The sequence below is a fragment of the Homo sapiens genome, chromosome 7 (genome assembly GCF_000001405.40).
Source record: "Homo sapiens chromosome 7, GRCh38.p14 Primary Assembly".
NCBI classification, from domain to species: domain Eukaryota; kingdom Metazoa; phylum Chordata; class Mammalia; order Primates; family Hominidae; genus Homo; species Homo sapiens.
In genome coordinates, this window is record NC_000007.14 from 49652448 (window position 1) to 49672587 (window position 20140).

A 20140-nucleotide genomic window follows, 5' to 3' on the forward strand; every position below is an offset into this window, starting at 1 on the left:
CTATTACAAAACTGACCACACAGTTGGAAGTAAAGCACTCCTCAGCAAATGTAAAAGAACAGAAATTATAACAAACTGTCTCTCAGACCACAGTGCAATCAAACTAGAACTCAGGATTAAGAAACTCACTCAAAACCGCTCAACTACATGGAAACTGAACAACCTGCTCCTGAATGACTACTGGGTACGTAACGAAATGAAGGCAGAAATAAAGATGTTCTTTGAAACCAATGAGAACAAAGACACAACATACCAGAATCTCTGGGACACATTCAAAGCAGTGTGTAGAGGGAAATTTATAGCACTAAATGCCCACAAGAGAAAGCAGGAAAGATCTAAAATTGACACCCTAACATCACAATTAAAAGAACTGGTGAAGCAAGAGCAAACACATTCAAAAGCTAGCAGAAGGCAAGAAATAACTAAGATCAGAGCAGAACTGAAGGAGATAGAGACACAAAAACCCTTCAAAAAATCAATGAATCCAGGACCTGGTTTTTTGAACAGATCAACAAAATTGATAGACCGCTAGCAAGACTAATAAAGAAGAAAAGAGAGAAGAATCAAATAGACCCAATAAAAAATGATAAAGGGGATATCACCACTGATCCCACAGAAATACAAACTACCATCAGAGAATACTATAAACACCTCTACCCAAATAAACTAGAAAATCTAGAATAAATGGATAAATTCCTCGACACATACACCCTCCCAAGACTAAACCAGGAAGAAGTTGAATCTCTGAATAGACCAATAACAGGCTTTGAAATTGAGGCAATAATTAATAGGTTACCAACCAAAAAAAAGTCCAGGACCAGATGGATTCACAGCCGAATTCTACCAGAGGTACAAGGAGGAGCTGGTACCATTCCTTCTGAAACTATTCCGATCAATAGAAAAAGAGGGAATCCTCCCTAACTCATTTTATGAGGCCAGCATCATCCTGATACCAAAGCCTGGCAGAGACACAACAAAAAAAGAGAATTTTAGACCAATATCCTTGATGAACATTGATGAAAAATCCTCAATAAAATACTGGCAAACGGAATCCAGCAGCACATCAAAAAGCTTATCCACCATCATCAAGTGGGCTTCATCCCTGGGATGCAAGGCTGGTTCAACATACACAAATCAATAAATGTAATCCAGCATATAAACAGAACCAAAGACAAAAACCACATGATTATCTCAATAGATGCAGAAAAGGCCTTTGACAAAATTCAACAACCTTCATGCTAAAAACTCTCAATAAATTAGGTATTGATGGGACGTATCTCAAAATAATAAGAGCTATCTATGACAAACCCACAGCCAATATCATACTGAATGGGCAAAAACTGGAAGCATTCCCTTTGAAAACTGGCACAAGACAGGGATGCCCTCTCTCACCACTCCTATTCAACATAGTGTTGGAAGTTCTGGCCAGGGCAATCAGGCAAGGCAAGGAAATAAAGGGTATTCAATTAGGAAAAGAAGAAGTCAAATTGTCCCTGTTTGCAGATGACATGATTGTATATCTAGAAAACCCCATTGTCTCAGCCCAAAATCTCCTTAAGCTGATAAGCAACTTCATCAAAGTCTCAGGATACGAAATCAATGTACAAAAATCACAAGCATTCTTATACACCAATAACAGACAAACAGAGAGCCAAATCATGAGTGAACTCCCATTCACAATTGCTTCAAAGAGAATAAAATACCTAGGAATCCAACTTACAAGGGATGTGAAGGACCTCTTCAAGGAGAACTTCAAACCACTGCTCAATGAAATAAAAGAGGATACAAAGAAATGGAAGAACATTCCATGCTCATGGGTAGGAAGAATCAATATTGTGAAAATGGCCATACTGCCCAAGGTAATTTATAGATTCAATGCCATCCCCATCAAGCTACCAATGACTTTCTTCACAGAATTGGAAAAAACTACTTTAAAGTTCATATGGAACCAAAAAAGAGCCTGCATTGCTAAGTCAACTCTAAGCCAAAAGAACAAAGCTGGAGGCATCACGCTACCTGACTTCAAACTATACTACAAGGCTACAGTAACCAAAACAGCATGGTACTGGTACCAAAACAGAGATATAGGCCAATGGAACAGAACAGAGACCTCAGAAATAATGTCGCATATCTACAACCATCTGATCTTTGACAAACCTGACAAAAACAAGCAATGAGGAAAGGATTCCCTATTTAATAAATGGTGCTGGGAAAACTGGCTAGCCATATGTAGAAAGCTGAAACTGGATCCCTTCCTTACACCTTATACAAAAATTAATTCAAGATGGATTAAAGACTTACATGTTAGACCTAAAACCATAAAAAGCCTAGAAGAAAACCTAGGCAATACCATTCAGGACATAGGCATGGGCAAGGACTTCATGTCTAAAACACCAAAAGCAATGGCAACAAAAGCCAAAATTGACAAATGGAATCTAATTAAACTAAAGAGCTTCTGCACAGCAAAACAAACCACCATCAGAGTGAACAGGCAACCTACAGAATGGGAGAAAATTTTTGCAACCTACTCATCTGACATAGGGCTAATATCTAGAATCTACAATGAACTCAAACAAATTTACAAGAAAAAAACAAATAACCCCATCAAAAAGTGGGCAAAGGATATGAACAGACACTTCTCAAAAGAAGATATTCATGCAGCCAAAAAACACATGAAAAAATGCTCATCATCACTGGCCATCAGAGAAACGCAAATCAAAACCACAATGAGATACCATCTCACACCAGTTAGAATGGCGATCATTAAAAAGTCAGGAAACAACAGGTGCTGGAGAGGATGTGGAGAAATAGGAACACTATTACACTGTTGGTGGGACTGTAAACTAGTTCAACCATTGTGGAAGTCAGTGTGGCGATTCCTCAGGGATCTAGAACTAGAAATACCATTTGACCCAGCCATCCTATTACTGGGTATATACCCAAAAGATTATAAATCATGCTGCTATAAAGACACATGCACACGTATGTTTATTGCGGCACTATTCACAATAGCGAAGACTTGGAACCACCCCAAATGTCCAACAATGATAGACTGGATTAAGAAAATATGGCACATATACACCATGGAATACTATGCAGCCATAAAAAATGATGAGTTCATGTCCTTTGTAGGGACATGGATGAAACTGGAAACCATCATTCTCAGCAAACTATCGCAAGGACAAAAAACCAAACACCACATGTTCTCACTCATAGGTGGGAACTGAACAATGAGAACACATGGACACAGGAAGGGGAACATCACACACAGGGGACTGTTGTGCAGTGGGGGTAGTGGGGAGGGATAGCATTAGGAGACATATGTAATGTAAATGATGAGTTAATGGGTGCAGCACACCAACATGGCACATGTATACATATGTAACTAACCTGCACATTGTGGACATGTACCCTAAAACTTAAAGTATAATAATAATAATAATAATAAAGAACTTTCTGTAGAATTAATATGGTGAGGCTGAGGGAGAAGGGATGAGGCTTTAGAACCCACACCTCAACATGTACAAAAATAACTTACACAACAACCCCCACCTGCAAGGATGGTGCAGCTCTGCCAAGCCCCTGGGGCTGGGGGGCACATTGCAGACAGGGCACCATGGGAGCCAACCAGTGTGGGCCCCAGGTGCTGGTGGGAGTGAAGAGGGCTCCAGTCTGGAGGGGAGGGTGGCTATTAGAAGGACTTGATATACATGTGTTATAATTTTATAATATACATATTTGAATTTGGGTGGGGACACAGAGCCAAACCACATCACCATATCAATATATCATAGAAAAATATGGGGTTAACCCAAAGAGGCTGGGGTAATGATGGGATTAACAATATATATTGATATGATTTTGCTCTGCATCCCCACCCATATTCACACAGACATAAACAATATTATTTATATTATTTAAAATTTTATATATCAGGCATCATGCCATGTATAATCCTTGGGGATTTTTCACTTATGCTACCTTGCTAGGATTCATCCACAGTTTCATCTGTCACTACAGTATACTGGTTTGGATTGTAGAAAATTATTCTATTGTGGGAATACACAGCAATTGATTAGTCTACTCTCCAGGTGATTTGCATTCAATCATTTCTAGGTTTTCTCTTCTAAACAGGGAAGCTATGAACATTCTTGCATGTCTTCTGTTGGATATGTGTAATTGTTTCTCTCAAGTAGTTCCAAGTGGAATTGCAAATGTTAGAAGGTATGTATTTCATTTTAGAAAATAATGCCGACCTGTTTCCCAAAGAAACTGCACCAAGCTCAATCCAGCAGCAAAAATTGAGAGTACCTATGTGTCCACATCCCTTCCAGAATTGACATTTGCAGATTTTGTATGTGTGCCTACTGAACGAGTATAAAATACTAAATCATCCTGTTCCTGATTTTTCACTTCTCTCTTTACTAACAGTGTTGAAAATCTCCACACAGGTTTAGTGGGCACCTGTGTTCTTATTTTTTAAGACACCTGTTCAGGCCTCTGCCTAACTTTCCATTGATTGCCCATGCTAACAATGAGCCTGTCACCAGAGAAATTGCCTCTGCATCACACCCTGAATGAGCATGGCTATTTCCAGGACTCTACTCTATGATTTCCCCCACTACTCTTATCTATGATGAGCTTTACTCTTTTGAGACTTTAGGGCAAACCCTCTTCATACTAAAGGAAACTTCAGGCAGGCAAAGAGAATGGGGAAATCAGAGACCAGCTCAAGAGATGCCCCTGGAATGACGCCCTATGTTAAACATCTGGTCAGGTTCCAATGACTGCCTTAGAAGTTTCTAGTGGGTAAGCTGGGCAGAATCTTCAAGTTGGGATGAGTCTAGACATCATTCAGGTAACAGGAAGCTCACAGGGGAGGGGATTCAAGCAATGTGTTTCATGGGCATACATTCATCATCTGCAAGCCATGCCACTGGAGTAGGATAAAGTTAGGAATATTCCCTTCGAGGAGGGCTGGTGGAAGCAAGCCGAGACTGCAGGGCCCTCTGTATGTAGGAGCCACAGGCCTGGCAGATGTGGCAAAGAAACTGGCTGGAACTGGGGCATGGGGATTAATGCAAAAGTCTATAAAAATATCGGGTTAACACAAAGAGGCTGGGGTAAGGATGGGATTAACAAACTAGCATGTAGAGAGACACTGAGATACAATTTCTAAAACTAAAGAATCGTTTTCTAAACAAAAGGCCCCAGGTCAGACTGGCAGCAAAGAGACTTCTGGGAGCTATTTTGGGTTCTGGGAGTCATGAGCTCCTGTTGCATCATTCAAAGATCCAATTATTGAAAGACAGAGCTGGGAACATAGGTTCTGTCTCAGTCGGAGCTGACTTAGGAGTCACAGTGAATCTATGCCTCCATGTAGGAAACCCCTTTGCCAGAAACTATGGTGGAGAAGAGGATTTTATTTTAACAAACATTTATATATTTCATATATTCCAAGCACCTGATTTTGTTCAGGAGAACAGAGTTAAATAAGGTATAGCATCTGCTCTGAAGTTGCTGAATAACATTAATAACATGAATTTCATTTGCAATCAGCATGACTCACTGTACTAACCACTTCACATGAATTCTTTCACTTAATCCTATAACATTCAGTCAGGTATGGTGATGCACGCCTGCCATCCCAGCTACTTGGGAGGCTGAAGTGGGAGGATCACTGGAGCTCAGGAGTTCCAGGCTGTAATGAGCTATGATCGCATCACTGCACTCCAGCCTGGGTGACAGAGCAAGACCCTATTTCTTAAAACATAAAATAAAATAAAATTCTGTAACAACCATATAAAGTAAGTAGCAATATTTACCCCATTTTCCAGTGAGGACATTAAGGTTCAAAAAGTTTCAGAAGTTTTTCTAAAGCCATTCAGAAAGTAAGCAGAGGAGGAGGAATTTGAAACTAATCAGTTAGCTCCTAGAGGTCACACGATTAACCACCCAACATACGTTTCCTAAGCGTCCTTTTATTAGAGGGGGCAGGGGCTCCCCATCATCCTCATCAGGTAACTTATTGTGCTGTGATGGTAACTACCTAAAGACTTAAAACTAAGCACAAATTCCTTCAGTTCTCACGCCTGGTACACATCTCATAACATGGTATACATCTTTAAGTACTACGGAAACCACAAAACCAATAGAACTTAAATTAAACTTGCATGTTAATGAGGCAGAGGATGAGGTTTTGCAACCATAAATCTCATAAAGTTAGGAAAATCCCTTTGAGGAGGGCTCCCCTGTGTCCTGGAGCCCCAACATCTCCCACCACTTCCCTCTATTTGAGCAGCTACGAAACTTCGCCAGTACCGCACACCGTGGTACCATCTGGCCTCCACTAGGTTAAAGCACATCATTTATTAGTTACTTCACCCAAATACATTTCCTATTAGCTTGTGACAGTGAAAGAAGCATTGCTTGGTGCCAACTCAGTTATAAATACAAACTCATGGGCACTAAAATCCCTGGCTATGCTCAGGGGTAGACTAGCAATGGCCTAGAAAATTGTGGACCTCCATTGGAGAAATATCTTATTATGCTCTTCAGCCTCCTTCCAATCCCAGTCCCCATCAGAAGGCAATGACCTCCTTGTGTGATAAGTGTTAAGGCAGAGAAAAACACAGAATCCGTGGGATTGGAGAGGGCACCCACCCCTCTGCCCAAACAGTAAAGGAAAGTCTTCCTGAAAGTGTGACCACTGGGTCTGGCCCTGGAGAGGAAGAAAAGTGTTTCCCAGGTGGAAGAAATGACATAAAGAAAGGCAATAGGACATGAAGCAGCACAATATGTGCACAAGAGACAAAAGAATTTATAATCCACGAAGAATAAGAGAAAGAGGAAGCCAGAGAAGCTGGTAGAAGACAGATCATGGGGTACCTACACCTATACCTATACCTATATCTGAGTGTCTACATCAACATCATCTACATCTACACCTACATCTACATCTGAGTGTCTACATCTACATCCTCTATGCCTACACCTACACCTATGTCTGTATATCTACATCAACATCATCTACACCTACACCAACACCTACATCTGTATGTCTACATCGACATCATCTACACCTACACCTATATCTACATCTGAGTGCCTACATCTATATCCTCTACACCTACACCTACATCTGTACATCTATATCACCATCATCTACACCTAGATCTCCACCTACACCTACATCTACATCTGTATATCTACATCAATATCATCTATACGTATACCTATACCTATACCTACAACTACATCTACATCTGTATGTCCACATCAACATTGTCTACACCTACATCTACACCTACAACCATATCTACATCTGAGTGCCCACATCACCATCATCTACACCTACACCTACATCTGCATCTATACATCTACGTCATCTTTATCTACACCTACACCTATGTCTACATCTGTATATCTACATCAACATCATCTACATCCACACCTATACCTACATTTATATATTTAACTCTGCATCATCTCCAGCTCCATATATGCCTATACCAATTTCTACACCCATATATCTATACCTACATCTACATCAACCTCTACATTTACATCTATATCTACATTCTTGGCCTGTCTATGAACCCTTTGAGAAAAGGCAGGAAAGCATTAGAACTCTCGAATGCTTTTTCATTTCCTTGTGCACTATGTGTATAAGAAACACCTCTGCTTGGTTTGAAATGGAAAGATCATGACTATGAATGAGGCAGTCTTCCCCTAGTTGCCATGGACATCTACCTTGGTTGCTAGCTCCCTGCATTCTGGCATGGCAGGGCTGCAGGAAGTGCTTGAATTGATGAGAATAACAAGGGACTATTTTATTTACCATCACCAGCATTAGCTTGTGTTGTGCAGCCACGGTTTGCTTGGTCTTTTAAATTACATTCCCACTTCCCTGTGCTCTCATCATTGCAGCTCTCATGGCTACATTCCTTAAAGCAATAACTTTCATTTACAATAATGTTCCTTTAATAGGGGTACGTTGGACAATATTCATGCACACTCACTTGGCATAGCATTTTTCATCGAAGAGCCTGTGCCAACATTAAATAGGTGAATTTAGCAAAAGCAGAAAAGCATAAAGAAGAAAATAAACATGACCCATGAACCCACTTCCCAGAGTAACTGTTTACATTGGGTGTGGTTTTCCCAGAGAAGTTCCTCTTTGCATATTGAGAGCATATGGAATTATAACTCTTACTGTTAACATTATAATATAAGGATTTCTATATAACTTTGGATATTTTGGAAAATAATTTAATGGCTATGTACTCTTTCTTTATATGTCCTCATATCATTGGTGACCATTTCTACTACACTTTGATCCTTCTTTTCTATTTATTCATTTATTAAATATCCATCAAGCACTTACTTGAATCAGCAAGACATGCAAGGACTTTGTGAGTTTTTGTTTCTTTGTTTGTTTTGAGATGGAGTCTCACTCTGTCACCCAGGCTGGAGTGCAGTGGCTTGATCTCAGCTCACGGCAACCTCTACCTCCTGGGTTCAAGTGATTCTCCTGCCTCAGCATCCCGAGTAGCTGGGACTACAGGCTCCCGCAACCACACCCAGCTAATTTTTTTTTTTTTTTTTTATTTTAAGTAGAGGCGTGGTTTCCTTTATGTTGGCCAGGCTGGTCTCGAACTCCTGACCTCATGATCCACCCACCTCGGCCTCCCAAAGTGCTGGGGTTACAGGCGTGAGCCACCGCGCCCCCGGCCGGTCCTTGTTTTTAAAGAATTTACAATTGAACGGGCAGAAGCAGATAGTAACAAGTGAATGAAAGTAGTAAGATCTCAGCTTTACAGACACCGTATTCTAACTATGTTTAGAGAAAAAAAGTGCAGCTTTCAAATTTCATTTACAGTCCGTCTTTCACATAGTCTCCCATCCACGACAGTGTGAGCAGAAAATAAATAAGTAAAGTAAAATAGATGTAAGTACCAACCAAGAAACCTAGGCTGATTTACAAAATTAAAATTTTTTTCTTAACTAAATCTTAGCTTCTTCAGTCAAAATACACCGTCACTTAGATTCCAACTCCCTTGCCAGAGCAGAACTCATTCCTGAAGTGCCTGCCTCCAGCATCCATTCTCACACTCTCTGCCTTCAGGATTATCTTAATCCTAACCCCAAGTTTGTTTAGTCCACTGTATTCTCAGCATCTCTAAGTGAATTCAAAGGAATTTCCAGTTCCTTTTTATCCCATAGGAAGACCAAAGGGATCCAGAAATGGTGCCAAAAAAATCTCTTGCCCCCTGCTTCCAAAGTTGTCAATTTATCCTTGTCCAGCACAGGGCAGAGGTCTTCCCCTAGAGCAGTAATTCTTTAAGTATGGTCCCAGACCACGAACACCAGCGTCTCCCCAGACCTACCAAAGAAGAAACTGTGGGTGGGGCAGTGGTCCAGCAATCTGTATCTTAAAGCTCTTGAAGCTTATTCAAGGAGATTCTGACGTGTACTGAAGTTTCAGAGCCACTGCCCTAAATGACTGCACATCCAGCAAAAGGAGCTATGCTCCTGATGTTCTTCTCACATGCAATATCCATCAACATGTTTTGAGAAACCCCATTTCAAGGCACAAGCTCCAAGGAGTGGAGGAAATGCCAGTCTTTCAGGATTGCTCCCTGTCTCCTTCCTCTGAACCATCTTACAAGTTTTGAAGGAATTGGCTTGCAGAGTCTCCTGGCCCTACATTGTGTGCTGCTCCCCCTTCTCTTTCTTCTCTCCTTACCCCTCCTTCTCCCTGACTGCACAGCTCACTTTCCTGCCGGCATAGGTGCAGGTGTCCACTCCACGTTTCTGGAAGGAGCAGGAATGCCATAATGCGCTGCCTCCAGGTTTGATTTCTGGTATTCCAAAAGGCCTCAGAAAGTTATTTCTCTCTCACGCTTGCTTTTACTCAAGCTCCCATTTGTCCTCAGAAAGTCTGATTTACAATCCTTATTTTCTTGATATAGATTTAAGCAAAAAAATCTACTTTGACAGTCAAACTGGAGAAACGAGTTTATTGATTTAGCAGGTATGTCTTCTCTCTCTAAAGCACTAAAACTCATTGCTTTAATCAGGGTGAAGTCTCCAAGGCAAAAATCGTCAGAATATAGAAATACGTCTGAAAATGTTTCCAAAAATAATATCCCTGATGCAACAGCACAAAACTCAAAATGAATTTTTTGATTCAACAAGTGTTTATTGAGGCCCTTCTATGTGAAGAAACTATTGTTTGTTTTTTTAATTATTATTATACTTTACGTTTTAGGGTATATGTGCACAATGTTCAGGTTTGTTACATATGTATACATTTGCCATGTTGGTGTGCTGCACCCATTAACTCGTCATTTAACTTTAAGTATATCTCTAATGCTATCCCTCCCCCCTACCCCCACCCCACAACACTCCGGGAGTGTGATGTTCCCTTTCCTGTGTCCATGTGTTCTCATTGTTCAATTCCCACATATGAGTGAGAACATGTGGTGTTTGGTTTTTGGTCCTTGCGATAGTTTGCTGAGAATGATGGTTTCCAGTTTCATCCATGTCCCTACAAAGGACATGAACTCATCATTTTTTATGGCTGCATAGTATTCCATGGTGTATATGTGCCACAATTTCTTAATCCAGTCTATCATTGTTGGACATTTGGGATGGTTCCAAGTCTTCGCTATTGTGAATAATGCCGCAATAAACATATGTGTGCATGTGTCTTTATAGCAGCATGATTTATAATTCTTTGGGTATATACCCAGTAATGGGATGGCTGGGTCAAATGGTATTTCTAGTGCTAGATCCCTGAGGAATCGCCACACTGACTTCCACAATGGTTGAACTAGTTTACAGTCCCACCAACAGTGTAATAGTGTTCCTATTTCTCCACATCCTCTCCAGCACCTGTTGTTTCCTGACTTTTTAATGATCACCATTCTAACTGGTGTGAGATGGTATCTCATTGCGGTTTTGATTTGCATTTCTCTGATGGCCAGTGATGATGTGCATTTTTTCATGTGTTTTTTGGCTGCATGAATATCTTCTTTTGAGAAGTGTCTGTTCATATCCTTTGCCCACTTTTTGATGGGGTTGTTTGTTTTTGTCTTGTAAATTTGTTTGAGTTCATTGTAGATTCTAGATATTAGCCCTTTGTCTGATGAGTAGATTGCAAAAATTTTCTCCTGATTCTGTAGGTTGCCTGTTCACTCTGATGGTGGTTTGTTTTGCTGTGCAGAAGCTCTTTAGTTTAATTAGATTCCATTTGTCAATTTTGGCTTTTGTTGCCATTGCTTTTGGTGTTTTAGACATGAAGTCCTTGCCCATGCCTATGTCCTGAATGGTATTGCCTAGGTTTTCTTCTAGGCTTTTTATGGTTTTAGGTCTAACATGTAAGTCTTTAATCCATCTTGAATTAATTTTTGTATAAGTGTAAGGAAGGGATCCAGTTTCAGCTTTCTACATATGGCTAGCCAGTTTTCCCAGCACCATTTATTAAATAGGGAATCCTTTCCCCATTGCTTGTTTTTGTTAGGTTTGTCAAAGATCAGATGGTTGTAGATATGCGACATTATTTCTGAGGTCTCTGTTCTGTTCCATTGGCCTATATCTCTGTTTTGGTACCAGTACCATGCTGTTTTGGTTACTGTAGCCTTGTAGTATAGTTTGAAGTCAGGTAGCGTGATGCCTCCAGCTTTGTTCTTTTGGCTTAGAGTTGACTTGGCAATGCAGGCTCTTTTTTGGTTCCATATGAACTTTAAAGTAGTTTTTTCCAATTCTGTGAAGAAAGTCATTGGTAGCTTGATGGGGATGGCATTGAATCTGTAAATTACCTTGGGCAGTATGGCCATTTTCACAATATTGATTCTTCCTACCCATGAGCATGGAATGTTCTTCCATTTCTTTGTATCCTCTTTTATTTCATTGAACAGTGGTTTGTACGTCTCCTTGAAGAGGTCCTTCACATCCCTTGTAAGTTGGATTCCTAGGTATTTTATTCTCTTTGAAGCAATTGTGAATGGGAGTTCACTCATGATTTGGCTCTCTGTTTGTCTGTTATTGGTGTATAAGAATGCTTGTGATTTTGGTACATTGATTTTGTATCCTGAGACTTGCTGAAGTTGCTTATCAGCTTAAGGAGATTTTGGGCTGAGACAATGGGGTTTTCTAGATATACAATCATGTCATCTGCAAACAGGGACAATTTGACTTCTTCTTTTCCTAATTGAATACCCTTTATTTCTTTCTCCTGCCTAATTGCCCTGGCCAGAACTTCCAACACTATGTTGAATAGGAGTGGTGAGAGAGGGCATCCCTGTCTTGTGCCAGTTTTCAAAGGGAATGCTTCCAGTTTTTGCCCATTCAGTATGATATTGGCTGTGGGTTTGTCATAGATAGCTCTTATTATTTTGAGATACGTCCCATCAATACCTAATTTATTGAGAGTTTTTAGCATGAAGGTTGTTGAATTTTGTCAAAGGCCTTTTCTGCATCTATTGAGATAATCATGTGGTTTTTGTCTTTGGTTCTGTTTATATGCTGGATTACATTTATTGATTTGTGTATGTTGAACCAGCCTTGCATCCCAGGGATGAAGCCCACTTGATGATGGTGGATAAACTTTTTGATGTGCTGCTGGATTCCGTTTGCCAGTATTTTATTGAGGATTTTTGCATCAATGTTCATCAAGGGTATTAGTCTAAAATTCTCTTTTTTTGTTGTGTCTCTGCCAGGCTTTGGTATCAGGTATCATTTATGCTGGCCTCATAAAATGAGTTAGGGAGGATTCCCTCTTTTTCTATTGATTGGAATAGTTTCAGAAGGAATGTTACCAGCTCTTCCTTGTACCTCTGGTAGAATTCGGCTGTGAATCCATCTGGTCCTGGACTTTTTTTTGGTTGGTAAGCTATTAATTTTTGCCTCAATTTCAGAGCCTGTTATTGGTCTATTCAGAGATTCAACTTCTTCCTGGTTTAGTCTTGGGAGGGTGTATGTGTCTAGGAATTTATCCATTTCTTCTAGATTTTCTAGTTTATTTGGGTAGAGGTGTTTGTAGTATTCTCTGATGGTAGTTTGTATTTCTGTGGGATCAGTGGTGATATCCCCTTTATCATTTTTTATTGGGTCTATTTGATTCTTCTCTCTTTTCTTCTTTATTAGTCTTGCTAGTGGTCTATCAATTTTGTTGATCTTTTCAAAAAACCAGCTCCTGGATTCATTACTTTTTTGAAGGGTTTTTTTTGTCTCTATTTCCTTCAGTTCCACTCTGATTTTAGTTATTTCTTGCCTTCTGCTAGCTTTTGAATGTTTGCTCTTGCTTTTCTAGTTCTTTTAATTGTGATGTTAGGGTGTCAATTTTGGATATTTCCTGCTTTCTCTTGTGGGGATTTAGTGCTACAAATTTCCCTCTACACACTGCTTTGAATGTGTCCCAGAGACTCTGGTATGCAGGACAGTGGGTGCAGTGCACCGTGGGCGAGCCGAAGCAGGGCAAGGCACTGCCTCACTGGGAAGCACAAGGGGTCAGGAAATTCCCTTTCCTAGTCAAAGAAAGGGGTGACAGAGGCACCTGGAAAATCGGGTCATTCCCACCCTAATACTGAGCTTTTCCAACGGGCTTAAAAAACGGCGCACCAGGAGATTATATCACGCACCTGGCCTTGAGGGTCCTATGCCCACGGAGTCTCGCTGATTACTAGCACAGCAGTCTGAGATCAAACTGCAAGGCAGCAGCGAGGCTGGGGGAGGGGCGCCTGCCATTGCCCAGGCTTGATTAGGTAAACAAAGCAGCCCGGAAGCTGGAACTGGGTGGAGCCCACCACAGCTCAAGGAGGCCTGCCTGCCTCTGTAGGCCCCACCTCTGGGGGCAGGGCACAGACAAACAAAAAGACAGCAGTAACCTCTGCAGACTTAAATGTCCCTGTCTGACAGCTTTGAAGAGAGCAGTGGTTCTCCCAGCACGCAGCTGGAGATCTGAGAATGGGCAGACTGCCTCCTCAAGTGGATCCCTGACCCCCGAGCAGCCTAACTGGGAGGCACCCCCCAGTAGGGGCAGACTGACACCTCACACGGCTGGGTACTCCTCTGAGACAAAACTTCCAGAGGAATGATCAGGCAGCAGCATTTGCGGGTCACCAAAATCCGCTGTTCTACAGCCACCGCTGTTCTGCAGCCACCGCTGTGAAGAAACTATTGTAAGCATTGGGGAATCATCAGTGATACTACTAGATGTTCTGTAAAAATTGTTACATCATTTACATCATTCACATCATTCAATCCTCAAAACAATCTTATGAGTATAAACCATAAAGCTATTTTCTTAGAGAAGAGAAATTGGAAGAGAGATTGTATTCTCTTTCAGTTCTCAGCACAGATGTCTCCTCTTCCAACAGACTTGTTCTCCATTTTATTCTCCATTACAGCATTTTCTTTGCTTCTGTCAATATGCATTTCTTGATGTGAAGTTATGTATGTATACAAATGCACATATATACAGAAATGCATGCAATTCATGTATCTGTTTATCTTGTCATCTGGCTTCCCTCAGCACAGTGCATGATGGGCAGAAGAGTGCCTCCTCAGAGACGTCCATGCATTATCCTCAGAATCTGTGAACATATGATGACATATGGTAAAGGGGAATTAAGTTTGCAAATGGAATTATGGTTAGTAATCCACTGACTTTAAGATAAGAAAATTACCCAATATCATCTAAGCAAAGCCAATGGAATCTCAGGCATCCTTTAAATGTGGATGGGAGAGACAGAAGAGTCAATGTTAGAGTGGCGTGGTGTGAGACTCACCCCCATTGCTGACCTTGAAGACAGAGGCAGGGACCACAAGCCAGCCATACAGACAGCCTCTGGAAGCTGGAAATAAAGGTTATCAGTTCTTCTCTGGAGCCTCCAGAAGGACGCAGCCCTGCTCACACCTTGATTTTAGCCTTCTATGACCTATTTCACACTTCTAACCTCCAGAACTATAAGATCATAAATTTGTATTGTTTGAAGCCATCACATGTGTGACAATTTTTTCCAGTAAATAGGATGCTAATGCAGTGTAAGCATCATGAAGGCAGCCACTGTAGCTTCTTCACTGCATATACACCCAGCCCCTAGCACAGTGCTGAAAGTGCAGTGCCTGCTGATAGCACAGTGCACAGTAATGTTTATAAGGTGAATGGACACTTAAGAACCTCAAACTGCCTCTCCAGAAGGATGCCTGTTTCCCACTTCTAGTCCCATATTATCCCACTCACTAAATTGAGAACTTTTCATGTATCACCTGGGATACCTCTGCAGCCTCTAAACATGTACCCTCTGCATCTAGGAGGGGCTTGGTAAAGTTTAGGTCTAGTCATGCAACTCTGCTTCCCAAAATCCATTGACAGACACTTAAACCTCTTTACACAGGCTTCAGAGCAGGCTGCAGTATGCCCTCACCTACAATTCCTTATTTTCTATAACTTCTAGTTACGTGCACCAAAACCAAACCTCTCCATGCATCAGACCCACATGTGTGCTCCTGATGGGCATGAGAGCTGTGTAGAGCTCTGTCATGCACATGGCCCTGCCCCACCCCAAACCAGTAGGTTGGAGGTAGAACCAAGCATATTTAATATCTAAAAATTCCCACATGTGGCAGCCAAGTTGAGAATCACCGGTCCAATTATTACCTCTCTAGACATCCCCCAGATTTTTCTGTGAAGACATCTCAGCCTGGGAAATGAAACATACAACAAATCTCTCCCTCCTTTAAAACTCAATGTTATTTTAGCTATACTTCTAGCTATTAGCACTTTGCAGGTTTTAGTTTTTACTGTGGTTACCTAAGTATTTTTCCTACGGTGACTAGTAGATTGCTTGCCCTTGATCACAGGGAACTATACCTCTGCAGGGAGCTCCCAGAAAGCATGAGTATATGTTAAGGGGCTGATTCACAGGTTCACATTTCATTGTGTGCTGAACCCGAAGTCATCCAAAGAGGTTCTCAAATGAATGACAACACACAACTATGACCAAGCTAGTCCTTTATTGCCTGTATAAATTCTTTCACTTAATGATCCCCCAAACTGCCCAGGACAGCCTGATCCTCACCTAATTTTATACCTGATGAAACTGAGGCTTCATGATATTAAATCATTTGTGGAAGGGTCTGAGGCAGGACTCACATCTGAGGATTGCCTAAGCCACAGCTCCAGGCTGGTCTGCTGAACGGGTCTTCCCAGCGATAGGAGAGGTAGAGAGCAGCCAGGCTGCACTGGTCCACACTGGCTCCCTTTCTGCCCAGGAATAAACAGGCAGCTTTAGATTCTCTCTTTCGGGTCATCAGGGAATTTCTCCAGGTGCTGTTTCCAACCCTGACTTTGAAACTTCTGACTTGCAATGATTTCCTTAATTTCCCTCTGGTCCCTGTCTGCCTAGTGTCCTCATATTCATGACTTTACTGAGCTTCGTTTCTCCCATATGGCCTCCTGGATCCTTCTCTCAGGCTCCACGCTCCCCACACAGTTGGTCTAGGTGTCTCCCACCCCTAACCCAACCTGGGTCAGGAGCCCTTAAGCTTGGTTTCTCAGGGAGGGCATTTAACCAAAGACAATTCCTGGCCCAGAAGAGGCTCAAGTAGGTATTTGTTAATCTGGCAAACGTTTCAAATAAACAACTGGTGTGCAGATGGGTCCAAGCATTGTAAGGAATGATCTTCGACCCCCTCACATAAGACACCACATCATCAGATCCACAGCCCCGAACTATAAGCCTGGAAAAATCGACAATGAAATAGAGATTTTTTTATGGTTACAAGGACCATTGCTGAATAGTAAACTATCTATTGAAATTATATTGCCACAAATCTGGGAGTAAAATAAATGAAATCAATATTAAGGCAAGAAGTGAGTAACAGGCAGCTGAGAGCTAGAAGCAGGCTTAGCTTGTGTCCTCAGAGCATCCTGCCTCTGTTCTTGGCTTCCTACTTAAAATGCAATAGACACAAAAGTGGGCAGCTTACTCAGCACCAGTGTTTGCTCTTCCCTGGGAATCATACAACACCATGAAGCATTAGCATTGAAATGCATGCTTCTAGGTTAAAGCTTTGGCTGCAGCTGCACCAGGAGGGCTGCTGGGAAAACCTACCCTCATAGTCAGCGCCATCTAATCAGCAGCTTGAATCTTGTTTGTTTGTTTTTTTTTTCCTAGCTGTTGTTCAGCCTTTTGCAATTAATCCATTCATTCATTCACTCAGCAAACATTTAGTGAGCATTTCCTCTGTTCCAGTGCCATACTACTTTACAGGGATTAAAAGATAAAACACGTAGAGCCCTGCCATGGAGGAATCCAGGTTCTAATTTACCGACACTGAACATCCCGGTTTGCCCAGGCCTGAGAGGTTTCCTCAGTCCGATCAGGAAAGTTCAGGGCAAGTCAGGACACCTCGTCATCCCGTGGTGGAGATAATAGTGCTGACAGATCATCGTGATGGTGTGAAAATGCTAAGTGGAGATGTTCCAGGAGCCTTTCCAAAGTCCCAGAGCGGCTCAGCACCTCCAGACTCCACCACAGCCTCGACTCACTAACGAACACAAGGAGCTGAAGCAAGCGGCGGCCCAGGGATCAATCAAGGAGAGTGAGGAAGGGCGGCGGAGAACAGAGAGGATGGCCAAGCACCTGCAAGCCAAGCACTCAGACTTCTGAGTCTCAGCAGAAAAGTGTGCCCAGGAAGGCTGAGTGCAGCCTGTGGAAAGGAAGATGAATAGAAATGCTCACCACCTTCCAGGAGTCCGCGGTGAGGTGGGAGGAACAGAGGCCTCACTAAGCAACACTGAGCGCTGTGATCAATACGTGTCCAATACAGAGAAACCAGGAGGAGCAGCCGGCTTCCCGTGCCAGATGGGAAAAGGGAAGCTGCGCCAAGAAACAAGATGAGATTCATAAAGACGAGTCTCTGCAGGCTGGGAAGGAGGGTGTGCAAGAGCATTTTAGGTCACAGAAAAGAACATAAACAAGGGAGGGATGAGGGGGACTTTCAGGAAATGGTGTCTAGACCGGGAGAGAATATTAAGGCTGACAGGAGGCGAATTGAAGCAGAAGGTGGGCCGCGGCTGGAGAGGAGGCGCCACGGTGAGAATTCCTCAGGCCAGCCTCCCTCGGTTTCCCTCAGTGACTCCAACTCCCCAGAGCTGGAGCCCAGGGATAAGGCGCCGCGATGGCGCTTCCTGCCCTTTAGCGGTGGCACCTACAGCCCCCTCCTACCAGCTCGCCAACTGGGTCACACTGACCAGTGTACCTGGCACCCCGTAAACGCTGCTGCTGCAAGCCATGGGGATCAATGAATGAAGTTTTAATAGTAAATCCATAGGATCAATGTGTATTTATGAAGGGTAATTCTGTCTGAGGTGTAGAGGAGAGAGATGTGAAAAGAGAGGGAACAGTTAGAAATCAACTCCAACAGGAATGATGGGGAGATCTAGAGGCACGTCTGGAAGAACCTTCAGGAATCTGCAGCCTCCTAGCAGTGGACAGAGGCTCCACCCCGGCCTTGCCTGGCTCACCATTACCACACACCATCCTGGCAGACGTTGGCTGCAAAACTCACCAAGAAGACCCAGCCCACCTCCTCTTGCAGAGGCCCCATTCTTCAAGGTTCCTAGATGTGATTTGGGACGACTGACAGCCCATTCTCCAAGTCTGAAATCACTTCAGGATGGTCTCTGGTAAAGATTGTACCTCATGACTCATACAGATGTCACCACAGTCTACTGGACACAGGGAAGACCTCTGACTCAGACCAACCCATAGAGTGAGCTAAAGTGCTCAGATTCCACTCCCAGGAGCTGATCTCTCCTATGAAGCCGCCTCTGGGCAGGTCATCTCTGGCCATGTGCAAACAGGAAAGGGTTAGGAGGAAAATTAATGTGTAACACACATGAGCGATATTATGCAACCCCTAAAAGATACAAAGAAAAGGAGTCTGTGCATCCTAATTTTCCAGTTCTCAGGAACTAAGGAGAAGCAGAAATTTAAAATACCATGCAATCCTGGAAGATACAAATGAAGACTTCAGATTCCAATTTTCTTATGGTCTGGCTAAGCTGAATTCCTTAAACAAGCCAATATATATATAAGCTTAGAAGAATGCCTGGCAAACAGTGCACATGTGCCAGCCACTATTATTTTGGGTACAAATGAGATTGTCTTTTATAATGTTGGAAAATAAAGGTATTAAGGCAATCTAAGTGGATTCTCTCTTTGTTCTGCTTTCAAAGACCATGGTAAACAAAGGAATATTGTATTTTTTCCTCAGTGATGGAAATTTAGAGAATTGTGGATGGTTCCTATCAAACTAATTAAATACTCTGAAAAGCTGTTTTCAGGACCCATTGATCTTGATCCATATAAAATTTTGGTGTTTCATTTTCTTTCTCAATAATACAACTCTGTATGATTTTGTTTGGGCCCAGATCAGAGAACATTTTATACTCTACAGAAAATGGCAGACCTTATTTGTAAGGTCCACTGAGCTCTTGCTAATACCCTTTAATCCGATGCAACAGCTACTGGTCTTGAGTCATAAATTAAACCAGAGCAACAAAAATTACAGTCTTATTCTAATACTCATACCATAACCTGACAAAATTTGTACCTCAAATGAATCTGTTGGTGCCCATAGCAAAATTTGATTCAATGCAACTTACTTCCTGGAAGTCATACGCCAGGAGGATTGTAGGCATGTCTGTTTAAAGAAAGCATTTCTTTGGGTTAGTGTGTGCATGACTTTGTTCCAAAGTCAAAATAGGGTGCATGTTAAGTTTAAACACTCTGGAAGGATTGGGTTCTCCAGATCTTGGCATGATGACTTAAACAGAACGAGGGTGGGCCAAGATCAGGAATTACTAGCAAGAGGTATCAAGTGTAACCAAGTACATCTTGGGTTGTCTCTGACAACCCAAGAGAATCGGGAGGGGCTGAAGAAAGAAAGGCCCATTCCTTGTCCAGCATAATCTGAAGTGGAGGTGCCACACATAGCTACTGTTGTTGTGACTTGCCCAGAGATCATCACCCAGTGGGACTGAGTCCAGCCCCCGTCTGATTACTAAGCTGTGCACTCAGGCACCAGCCTTTTCTAAGTCACTTGAAGATACTTTAGGGGGCCT

General features: G+C 42.1%; 1 annotated feature.

Moving 5' to 3' along the window:
• Positions 13311-14510: an enhancer, noted in NCBI's record as "CDK7 strongly-dependent group 2 enhancer chr7:49705354-49706553 (GRCh37/hg19 assembly coordinates)". NCBI's record gives its function as "activates an origin of replication core promoter dependent on BRD2, BRD4, P300/CBP, MED14 and CDK7 cofactors, with strong dependence on CDK7, by STARR-seq in HCT116 cells {active_cell/tissue: HCT116}" and the evidence as "EXISTENCE:reporter gene assay evidence [ECO:0000049][PMID:35650434]".